The sequence below is a fragment of the Homo sapiens genome, chromosome 1 (assembly GCF_000001405.40).
Source record: "Homo sapiens chromosome 1, GRCh38.p14 Primary Assembly".
Lineage (NCBI taxonomy): Eukaryota > Metazoa > Chordata > Mammalia > Primates > Hominidae > Homo > Homo sapiens.
The window spans coordinates 60,610,812-60,623,508 of NC_000001.11; the positions used below are offsets into that span (position 1 = coordinate 60,610,812).

Below are 12,697 nucleotides of genomic sequence, written 5' to 3' on the forward strand. Positions count from 1 at the left end.
GGTCTTTTAATATTTCCATGCTGACTAATAATCATCAATGGGCAATGACAGTAACCACAAACCCCACCAGAGTTGGGCAAGTAAGGGCTTATTTCCATCAGCAATGAGGGTCTGTCTTATCCCAACAGGCAACTAACTGGACTAACTGAAATATTGGCCAATGGTGAGGGAAATCTAAAATGATAAAGGATGGAGATAATAAATGTCGTTCACGGCCTCAGCATCAGTTTCAGCAGCAGAAACTATACTTTGTTTCTGTAAGCTTCGTGGCTTAAGTCTTGCAGACAACAAATGACAAACAATCTAGAGGAGGATTCTACCAGTGATTGGACCTGTTCTTCCCTCTTTGGGAAGGAATAAGAACACCAAAAAAAAAAAATACTCGGGGGAGACCCCATATTGTAGTACAAGAGCCAGATATAAGAGGGCAAGGGGGGATTGGAATGGCCCAGGAGGGGAACAGATGGGACATCTTGGGTCAGATTTAGATTCCCTTGGCTTCACCCATCTCAGAGGCCTTTGGATATTTGTTTTGCATTGGCATTGTTGTATTGACACACTTAGTACAGGTCTGTGTGGTTCTACCAAATGAAGCTAAACATATACTTGCTCAGGAAAGCTGGACTCTCTTCTGTAACAGACACCACACAACCAGGCTGACCAGCCATGTGTCCAGTGTTTCTGTCTCTCCAGCCATTTCTGCCCTTAGATGAAATACCCTACCATAGAATTCAGGATCTAGTTTCCCAAAAGCCACCCAGGAAGACAAATAATGTACCTGGAAAGCGCAGAGGAATTGATATCTTTGGGGGCAAAGTTTGAATAGTAGGGAAAAGGAAAAGATTGGAGAGAGCCAAACAGATAAACTCCCTCTTCCTTCTTCTCAAGTACTGTTCTCTGGTGTGCTTTCTCTTTACAGCCTCTCCAGAGGCATTCTGCAAGGCCAAACAAGCACCTCCAACAAGCTATCTGCTGAATACATCACACTGCACTGCTTCCTATACTTCCCTGACTCAATTTCTTTTCCCCCATTTTTATTGCCCTATCTTTACAGCTCCCAGAGAGAGCATCAGCAGTTAATCTTGGCCCAGATGCTATTTTCTGGGGGACCATGGAAAAGGCAGATATAACAACAAGAACAACAATATGAAATTATTATTATTATTATAGCAAAACTTACTTTTATTGGGTCCTACTCTGTGCCAAGCACTGTTCTATACATTAACTCATGTACTCCATTAATAGCAGGAGTCATGGCTTATTAATCTTTGTAACCCCAGTACACAGCACATAACAGGGCAGATGGTAGGTAGTCTCAGAAAATGTTTGAGAAATAATACATGTCTCCATAACAGAGCTTTGAAGCTAGTCATTTGCAAGACCTCCATTTTAATTTAGCTGCATTTCTCAAAACCAGTCCTAGTGAGCACTTACCAGGCACCAGAAATTTCCACATATTTTGTCTCATTTAGTACCCAAAATTGTCTTGTAATATAACATTATAATATGTTCTATAGATGATAAAACTGAAACCAGTGGAGGTAGAATTGAATCTCAGAATGGACATTTACTTACCCTAAGTTAGAAAACAATATTAAATAAATTATTTAACAAGTCTGAGCCTTTTAAATGGTGATATTAACAAGAAATGCCCTACTTTCTTAAATGGCTATTGGCAGGGTGAAAAGTGAATTGTTCTACAGGTGCCAATTTCCAAATATTGATGAGGAAATTCAGGCTCAAAATATTAAAAGCCTTGCTGAGTGTCCTACAAATTTCATAGTACACACATGGGAATTTTCTCTGAATCGACTGCCAGAACAATTTATATTATACCTTATTGTGGATCTTGGGTAAAAGTAGAGAACAGATTTCAGATGTCCTCATTCTACCCATCTGTGTCCCCACAACACATTTCCAAAAACAGCAGGTAGGAGTACAGCAGGCAGGATTCCCTTTAGGGACTGCATACCATGACAACTTTCAAGAGACCGGAGCACAGGGGATTATCAGTTTGCCAATGTGAAAACAAAGCTTTCCTTATTAATAAGTCCTTGGCACTTGATAATTTTCCCAGGGCTTTAATTTCTGTTAATGGTTAGTTTGTAAGTTTAATAATATAACTTAGATAAAAGAAAAAGGTGCGTGTGCAGACAATGCGGCAATGTCTACTTTTAAAGCAAAACAATATTTGGGTTGTTGAGTAGAGTCAGAAAAGGAGCCAAGGATAATAGTGAACAGCAACAACAAATCCTGTCCACTTAGTAACTTCAGGGTTCAGGTTAGGGACACAATGTAGCATTCTATGTCAGAGATGTGGGAGCAGCACTTACGCACATGGCCAGACTCTTCACTTCTAAGCAATATGTTCTTCCCTGAGACTATCAGCGGTGGTTTAGCATGGGTTAAAGGAAGATGATCTTTTCTTTTTCTTTTTTCTTAACATTTTAATTAACATAAAATAATGATTATTTATATTTTTGAGGGTATAGTGTGATGTTTTGTACACATTGTGAAATGACTATATTAAGCTAATTAACATGTCTATCCTCTCACACACTTAATTTTTGGGGGAGAACATTTAAAATCTACTCTCAGCAATTTTCAAATATACATTATCATTAACTATAGCCACCATGCTGTACGTTAGATCTCCAAAACTTATTCCCCCTATCTAATGGAAACTCTGTATCCTTTGACAAGCACCTCCCCATTCCCCTGAGTCCCCATCTGCTGGTAACCACCATTCTACTTTCTGCTTCTGAGTTTGATTTTTTTAGATTTCACATATAAGTAAGATCATGCAGTATTTGTGTTTCTGTGCCTGGCTTATTTCACATAGCATAATGTTCTCCAGGTTCATTCATGTTGTTGCAAATGACAGAATATCTTCTTTTTTAAGGCTGAACAGTATTCTATTTTGCATATATACCACTTTTTAAATGTATTAATCTGTGGATGGACACTGATCTTGGCTATCGTGAATCATGCTGCAATGAACATGGACATGAAGTTATCTCTTTGGGATACTAATTTAATTTCCACTGGAAGCCCAAAAGTGGGCTTGCTGGATCATATGCTAACTCTATTTTCAATTGTTTGAGGAACCTCCATACTGTTTTCCTTAATGGTTGTACTAATTTACATTTCCACCGACAATGTGGAAGGTTCCTTTTTCTCCACATCCTTACCAATACTTGTTATCTTTCATCTTTTTTATAATAATTATCCTAACAGGTGTGAGATGATGTTTCATTGTGGTTTTGATTTGCATTTCCCTGATAATTAGCGATGTTCAGCATTTTTTCATATACCCACTGGCCTTTTGTATGTCTTCTTTTGAGAAATGTCTATTCAGATCATGTGCCCATTTTTAAACTTTGATCTGGTTATTTGTTTTATTGTCAATTTGTTGAATCCCTTATATATTTTGGATATTAACCCATTATCAAACGTATGATTTGCAATTTTTTTTTTTTTTTCTGAGACAGGTTCTGGCACTGTCACCCAGGCTGGAGTGCTGTGGCACGATCTTGGCTCATTGCAACCTCCACCTCCTGAACTCAAACAATCCTCCTGCCTCCGCCCCCCAAGTACCTGAGACTACAGGTGTGTGCCATCAAGCCCTGTTAATTTTTGTATTTTTTGTAGAAATGGGGTTTTGCCATGTTTCCCAGGCTGGTCTCAAACTCCTGAACTCAAGCAATTTACCTGCTTTGGCCTCCCAAAGTGCTGGGGTTACAGACATGAGCCACTGCTTCCGGCCAGGTTTGCAAATATTTTCTTCTAATTCATAGGTTGTCTCTTCACTGTGTTAATTGTTTTCTTTTCTGTGTAGATGCTTTGTTTTTGGTGCAATCCTCTTTGTCTATTTTTGCTTTTGCTGCCTTTGCTCTTGGGGTGATATTGAAAAGCCCTTGCCCAGACCAAAGGAATGAAGGTTTTCCCTTATGTTTTCTTTTAGTAGTGTTACAGTTTCAGGTCTTCCATTCAAGTCTTTAATCAATTGTGAGTTTATTTTTGCATATGGTATAAGAAAAGGGTCCAATTTCATTCTTCTGCAAGTGGATATCCTGTTTTCCCATCAGCGTTTATTGAAGAGACTAACTTTTCCCCATTACATGTTCTTGGGGAAATAATACATTATAACACCTTTGTAAAAAATCATGACTATATACATGTGGGTTTACTTCTGGGCTCCTTATTCTGTTTCATTTGTTGCTATGTCTGGTTTTATGCCAGTATCATGCTGTTTTGCTCACTGTAGCTTTGTAACATATTTTGAAATCAGGTAGTATGATGGCCACCAGATTTGTTGTTTTTGCTCAAGATGGCTTTGGCTAGTAGAGGATTTTTATGGTACCATGCAAATTTTAGGATTGGTTTTTTTTCTATTTCTGTTAAAAATATCATTGGATTTTTTTAATTGGAATTTTGATAGGGATTGCATTGAATCTATAGATTGCTTTGGATAGTATGGACATTTTAACAATATTAATTCTTCCAATCCATAAACATAAGATATCCTTCCATTTATTTGTATCTTCTTCAATTTCATTCATCACCATTCATTTTATAGCTTTTAGTATATAGACCTTTAACCTCCTTAGTTAAATTTATTTATAGGTATATTTTGATGCTATTATAAATGGGATTATTTTCTTAATTTCTTTTTAAGATGCTTCGTTTTTACTGTACAGGAATGCTACCGGTTTTGTATGTTGATTTTGTGTCCTACAACTTTACTGAATTTGTTTATTAGTTTTATCAGGTTTTTTTGGTGGAGGGTTTTCTATATATAAGGGTTTTCTATATATAAGATCATGTTGCCGGCAAAGACCATTTAACTTCTTCCTTTTTTATTTAAATGCCTTTTATTTATTTTTATTACCTAATTGCTCTGGCTAAGAAAAATGTGCTCTTGAAGCATAACATTTAGAATGTATCTGTGGTCACAGAGTGGGATCTTGGCATGTCTCGTCAATAAATGGTGTTGAGAGGAAACTGGAATTCAAGAAGTCCTCTGTAATTTTTGCAGTCCTATGCAATTGCAGAGCTAGAATTCGTAAAAGCTATAGTAACTTGAGCAAAACCACAGAGGTTAGGTTTTCCATATTTTGTTAGGCCCCATTTAGCTAAAGCATATGGTATGGGAGGTATGCCTGGAAATGTCGCTTTTGGTAAAATTGCAAGAGGACTTTGAATGCTTTGTGGGCATTTGTGAATGTTCAGGAGGCTATGAGAAATTAATTAAGATTCTTGACAAATGAAATAACATGACTTGAAATTTACTTCAGAAAAATTAATCCTGCCACACTGTGTAGGTTGAATTGGAGTAAAAAAAAATGCAAATAAATGGGACAAGCAATTAAAAAGATGATTATAGTAGCTCAGAAAAAGAAGAAATGAGACGTCCCAGGGATTTATTTATTCTCAGTTCTCAGACTGTGTTATGGAACTTTCAAGTTGCCAGGTAAGAGCCTTCCAAATAAAAAAGTAGGTGTCCTTGTCATTCCCAGGAATTCTCATGGTAAAAGGAAAAGACAAGTAATTCTAGATAAAGACATTTCTGGGGAGAGGAAAGAGAACTCTAGCTCTCTGGGGCAGAGGCTGCTGAATACAATCTCATAAACATTTCCCCCTTCTCTCATTGTAATAGAAGCCTCAATTATTTGAGACAGCAATGAACCTAGCTAAAAGACTGCGTTTCCTATCCTCCTTGCACCTGACTGTGGTAAAATGAAAAAGATCTAAGTAATGAAAAGTGGTAGAAATAGCAGAAAAGCTGCTAAAGGAAACCGACTTGACTGGAAACTGGGCCCTTTTGTCCTATCCTCCTCCTTCCTGTTGCCAGCCTGGAACAATGATGTAATGTTCCAACTGCCATCTTGGACAATGAGGTGACCTTGAGAATGAAAGCAATATACTGATGGTGGTAAAGCAGAAAATGGCCCTGAACATCTTTTGCATGAGGGGCAAACTCCTCTCTTGTTTGAGTCACTATTGATTGTTTGGTGTTTCCTATGAATATTATACACAGCTAAACCTAGTCTTAAGTAATACATCCACTTTGCAAACGTAAACTTTGGGAGCCTGGGACTTAGAGTTAGACTTGACTCTCTTAAAGTAATTATTAATTTATTAAAATAAAGAATCCCAGAGATAGTAACTACTATAATCGCTCACTTCCTACAGGGGTCCAGCTATTAAATCTACTCTGTATAGCCTCCATCCAGATGGCATTATTTTCAATTGTTTCCTAAAATTCTGCACAACGTGCATCTTCCTTTTCATCCCTACCACCATTGCCTTAATTCAGTCTCTCTTATTTTCTGTGCCTATTGACAGAAGCCTCCTCACTTGTTTCCCTGTCTCTAGTTTTATCCAGCCCTCACTCCACCCACATTGCCTACCTGTCTTCCACACTGACAACAAAATGCCATGTCCAAACCCAAAGCCAATTACATCATTTCTTACTTAAAACCTTTGTATGGCTCCAGATAACCTGGCACTGAATTTTTTTGTTTCAACTTTATCTCCCCATGATCTACTCCACATACTCCATTTCCCGTTTGCATCTCTTCTTAAACTCCTGAAGTCACACTGCCTCATGCCTCCTGTCTTTTCACTGGAATGCTCTTCCATCTCTTACCCACCTGGCTTGCCTTTGTTCATATTTAAAGACTGTGGAGGGTATCTAAGGCAGGAGTTCTCAAATGTTTTGGTCTCAGAGTCAGAGTCTACTCTTAAATATTATTGGGGACTGCAAGATGACTTGCTCATGTTATTTATATCTATTAATATTTACCGTGTAGAAATTTAAAATGAGAACAATTTTTACTATTTACATGAAATTCATTTTCAAATAACAGTAATATGTGCTAAAATATATAAAAATTTTTCATTTAAAAATATATTTTCAAAAAATTCATGAAAAACTGGCATTGCTTTACATTTTTGCAAATTTCTCTAACGTTTGGTTTCATAGGATACAGATTTTAATATCTGCATCTACATTCAATCTGTATTGCTATGTTGGTTTGGTTGAAGTATATGAAGAAAATTTGGAATAATCTGTGGGTATTAATTCAATCTGCACAAAAATTCAACAAGTGATAACCTCTTATTAGCTGCAATATGGAGTCTGAAACTATACTGATGAACTTTTTGTATTGTGTTACATTAAAACCCATTGGTCAACCTTAAATGAGCCTTTTATTTATGTGTGATCTCTATAGCATCATGTGTGGGTCATTTGAAAAACACCCATTTACTGAGCCATGTAGATCATCCAAAAATTGATACATTGACCACACAATATCAAAAAAATTACATTTTTCACTGTCACCACAAATCTTTTCAGTAAAGGCTTTAAGTATTAGGAAACCATCAAATTCCCAGTGGCAGATTCCAAAATTATGATTTTTGTGTGAAAGCTCAAATTTTATCATGGCCAACAAATAGTGTTAGTTGTTTTCCTTAAATTAATATACTTTCTTTAGGAATATGTCTGCCTAACACCCAGATCTGAACAGCCATAGTTTTTCTATGTCATTCTTCCAAATAAAAAGATTTTTCTGTGAAAAAAGGCAGCTAGTTCAGCTTGCAACTAAATTACACAACTACTTTTCTTCAAGGCAGCCTTTGTACTTTAGTATGAGCAAAAAACCTTCATGGCACAACTACTTTGCCCCACAGATGTTAAAAAGGTGTTATACAGGGTTGACATTTAATAAAAGTAATATTTTTTACTGATTATTCGAGAGAATTCTTAAAGAGAACTGGCATTGTTTACTGTGAGTACACGGTGTTAAAGAATACAATGACTACTTACATAATTTGGTACTGCTTATCATGCTCTGGCACCTGTAGTTTTACTTACCATTGTTTTTGCACCATCAATACAAATGGTAACAGAGTGAAAAAAAGAAAATAATAGCTTAGGTTTATTAAGAAAAGTGTTTTGACCTCATGAACCCCCTAAAATGGCCTTGAGATCTTCAGGGGCTCAGGGACTATACCTTGAGAACCACTTGTCTGTGAGTCTAATCGTCCCCTCTTTGAGGAGTTGCCACCTTTCCACTCCTTTGATGAAGCTCCTGTGGAAGCTGCCCATTTCTAAGTAAGCCTGCCCCACCGCTACTTCTGACTGATTGGTCTCAGAGAGACCCAGTGAATCCTTTCCCCAGGAAATTTGGCCTTAGAACTTTGAAAAGTGGACAGTTCATCGAAGCAGCCTCTTTTAGTGTCTGAGGCTATGAGATATAAAGCTTTAGAAGTGTCAGTGACAATACCTCCTGTCAAAGTGACCAAGAGACAGAGGAGACCATCTGCACTGAGTGAAACAGAGATGAGAAATGGAGAGAAATCAAATGTTAATGTTCAAATAAATGGACCCAGATTTTCCTTAGGTCCAGCCATGTTGCCATTCTTGATGTTAATACCCCAGAATCTCTACAATAAAAGCCCCTCTTTATATATTGTTTATATAAATTTATATATTGTTTACATAAATTTTCTGTTACTTAAAATTAAAAGCATCTGGCAAAAAAAATCGGCTCAAGAGACTCCTCATCTGTGAAGACTCCTTGACGCCATCCTCTAAGCAGAATTGATAATGTCAAATCAATTGGTTTGCCAAAATTAAAGCTAGCCCTCATCTTTAGTGTAGCACCTGCCTCACTGTAATCTCACTGTACTGTAATGGTTTCTCACTAGAATGTTCCCCCAATACACCGCAAGCTCCAAGAAAGCAGTAAAAGTATAGGACTTTTTAAAAACTCAAATCTTAGCAAATTAAATATATAAACGGATAAGTAGGGAAAACGAGACAGAGAAAGAAGGAAGGAATAAAAAGAGCACATTCACACAGACATAAAATCTTGTTATATTCCTTCCTGGCTGAGTCATTTTGGCTTTCTGAACCTGCACCAACCCACTTGCAAAATACCTAGGCCCCTAGGCTGAAGCTGAAATTCAGACACTTAAATGACTTCACTAAGTAAAATTTTCCTAAGTTATGGAACTTTATCCTTGCTGGCTCAGTTTGAAACACTGATGTTACGGAAACTATATTTTTGGTCATTCCTCTAGGAATCATGAAAATTGTGACATTTATAAAACTTTGTATTTATAAACAAAACTGTATAAATTGGAGGCATCCAACTAGACCCCACCCATCTTCCCCATTTAACTACTTAGTCAAGAAACTTGAAAATTAAGTCCCACAAACCACAAATATAATAACCAAATATAAATGTTATAACTCTTTGACAATCTTTTAATATTCATTTCCTCATCTGTAAAACAGGGAAAAATATCCGACAGAGTTGACATAAAGGTTAAATGAGACAGTGTCTTTCTAGCAATGTACTAGCATGGGGTAAGCTAAGTCGATTATTTTACAAGCTTTTTCTTCTCTCTCAGAAACATTATGTACTTTAGGCTTCCTCTCAGGAAGTTCGGATTGAAATAACATTTATAGATGAGCTAAGTCAGAGGATTGGCCTAAATTCACATAGCTTAGTAACTGCCACTGCCGGGGGCCCAACGCGGGCTTCCTGACTCCACATCCTGCTCGTCCATTACACCTGTGGTCTCTCACCTTCAGGCAAAGAGTGCTAAGATTTCAGTTCAAGTATTTTATTCTACTTTTGGGTATTTAAGCAAATGAATTTTGTAAAGAATTGAGAAAGAACTGAAAATAACAGTGAACATTTGAAGGCATTATAAGATGTGTAAAAGTAATGACAAGCAAATTTGAAATAACAAGACATGAATTTTGGTTGGTGACTGCCCTGACGCCAGCTTGGCGAGTTGGGTAAGTCAGTTAAGCAAAAGGCACAGCAATTATGTTATGTGCAAAGCGGAATTTTTTTCTTGTCCTACAGGAAGAGGGAATGAATTCATTTTCTGAGCACCTATGTTCAGGCACTTCACAAGCATTATATTAATTAATTCTTATAACAGTCCTGCTCCGTGTGTATTATTATCCCTATTTTTTCTGACAAGAAATCTGGGGTCTAATAATTTAATTTGTCCAGGCTCACAGAATTAGTACCTGCGATTCCCACTACCCTAGACTGTTCTACCTGCCTTAAAAGATCACTGTGAGATAAAATGAAATAAGAGATGAGAACAAACATGTCACACTGTCCAAAATGTGGTACTACTGGTGAATAGTCCTCAGCTGCGAAGTCAGTAAACTTGACTTTAAAGTTCTTACCTCTCCACTTACTATTAATAAGTGTACAGGTTTGTCAACATCACTTCACTTCTCTGAACCTCAGTTTTCTCAACAATAAATGGGGCACAAGATTACAGGCATCGATGCCTGCCTTACAGACTGTTAGGAGACTCCAGCAAGACAGCAATTGTAAAAACCCTTTGTGCTCTGTAGAGCCCTATACAAATGTGTGCTATTATTATTATTGCTATTACCATTATTATTACACCATGTTCTTTGGGCAAGACATTTATGTTAAACTGACACAGCACATAATTGGAGTGCTCAAGTTAAATAAATGAAGTCAGCTGTCTGACTCCTTTAAGATAAATGATGTTATTATAACATAATTGTATAACCCCATATAGCTTACAGCAGCAAAAGGATGTGTATTTCACATGCCCTCCTATAATTACATCCCCATTATAATTTTGCAGTTAGTTGCGATGAGCTCTGGTCATGAAAACATGCCAATTTTGTATGGGATTGAAGTCTGCCTAATTTTAGCAAATTGAGAGTCACACAAAAGAAAAGAGATAAATACTATGTTGTTATTTTTCATTAGAGAATTGCTATATTAAGAGGCTGCGATCCAGCTGTGTTTGTTTAAATAAAAGTGTGATTTGAATACCTCCTACAGCTAATGTTCCTGCCAATGAATAAAAGATAAAAATGCGGCTCTCGTTGGATGGGAGTCTCTGCGTTCTAGCTGACTCGGAGATTTATTGTTCCACATAAGGAAGTTGAAAGCGTGGAGGGCAGACCACACGCAGCGGCCTTTTGTGTATTGTTTCAAGCCGTATCACTAATAGATTTCTTCCACCGAGGCTCCCAGCAATTCAGCTGTGCTCAAATGCTCCACTTAACTGTGAAAAAAAATAATAATAAAATAGTAATTATGCCTAAATGGCAAATGCAGCCCAGCTCAATGCCACAAGGAAGAAAGTAAACAGGAACAAATACTATTCAGAGAAGAAATGCTGTATTTTAATGCTGGTGATAATGGATTTAAGCCTCATTTTTCTTTCAAAGACTCCTCTCACTCATATCCCAGTGCCTCTCTTTCCCCTGTGTCTCCCCTAAAAACTAGCAATATTCTCCTGACATTCATTCTCCTCAAGCCAGCCACCTCAGAATGAAAGAAATGTGATATCCAGGCTATAGTGCAATTCCAAAGCGTGTGGAGTGATATTCTAGGAGCTTGGCATACCAGGATATAAGCAGGGTTAAAATCTCCACCCTCAAGCAGATCACAGTCTAATGATGGATGTAAGATATGCGTTCCCCATTCTCCAAACTGCTATCTTTTTGAAAAATGTCATTATCTCACTGCTTGCTCTTGACCACTCAATTCCTGCCAAATTCCACTTTTCATCTTAAAGTAGCCATAGCAGACTTCTTATAGACACACACACACACATACACACACGTGCGTGGACACACAGCATGCTATCTCTTACCTCAGGCCTTTGCAAGCACTGCCTACCTTCTCTACTGACTTTTCTTCCCTCCCTTACCCATGTAGCAGACTCCTACTCATTTTCATGATTCAATTCAAACACTGTTTCCCAGAAATCTTCCCTGCTCCACCCACGGGTGCTCCAAATGTGGGATGAGCAGACCTCCTCTCTGTTGCAAAGACGCACTGCATAATCTGTCTTGCTGATCCTCAGCTCAGGAGGCTGGAGTGGGCTGGAGAGACATGCATCATGTGTTTCCCAACCCCATTCTGGAGCACAGGGAGCATATTTCTTCCTTTCTCTCTTTTATCTCCCCACCAATCTTTATCATCCACCAGAATCACAGCCATCATGAGCAACTGTCACTGATAGGAGTGCATTTTCAGATGAGTTAGAGCTGGAATAAGGAGACCTATAGTTGACTGAAATGTTCTGTTTGTTTCTCTGTCTCCCCATTAAGCCTCTGAGGGTGGAAACTGTATCATTTCACCCCTACAACTTCAGGGCCCCTAACACTGACTAGAAATTTATAGATGTGTAGTATGATGGATGGATGGATGGGTGAATGGATGGATGGATGGGTGAATAGATGAATGGATAATAAAACATAATTTAGGAAAGGAGACTGGTGACATACGAAAAGTGAAAACAACTGCAATGAGAGCCAAAATGAGGGACAGTTCATTTACAGAGGGAAAATAATGAAGGATCCCTACAGAAAGAGTGACCGCAGAGGTAAGACTTAAAAGATCTTGTGATTAGGAACAAAGCATCCCAGGCAGAGGGTACAATGAAAGTAACGACTGAACAAACACACAAGAACCTACACTATCCAAAGGGTCCAGTTACTTTAGAAATCAACACTTAATTTTTTCCAGTAATAACCAACCTCTGAGAACTTAAGAAACAATCTTCAAGACCTACCTGCATAGATAATGAAAAAAAAATCAGTTTCAGATGGTTTTGTTTCACTGTTTTTGTAAAACCCAACTCTGGCTAACTAGCTTGATTT

At 37.7% G+C, this 12,697-nt stretch overlaps 1 long non-coding RNA gene across 1 annotated transcript in view; it reads right to left on the reverse strand.

Moving 5' to 3' along the window:
- Positions 1-11,874, reverse strand: part of LINC01748 (long intergenic non-protein coding RNA 1748) — a 106,970-nt gene extending 95,096 nt beyond the window's left edge. Inside the window, exon 1 of the long non-coding RNA NR_146508.1 lies at positions 11,686-11,874. This is a non-coding gene — a long non-coding RNA (long intergenic non-protein coding RNA 1748). The remainder of the gene's footprint in view (positions 1-11,685) is intronic.
- Positions 11,875-12,697: the final 823 nt, after the last annotated feature.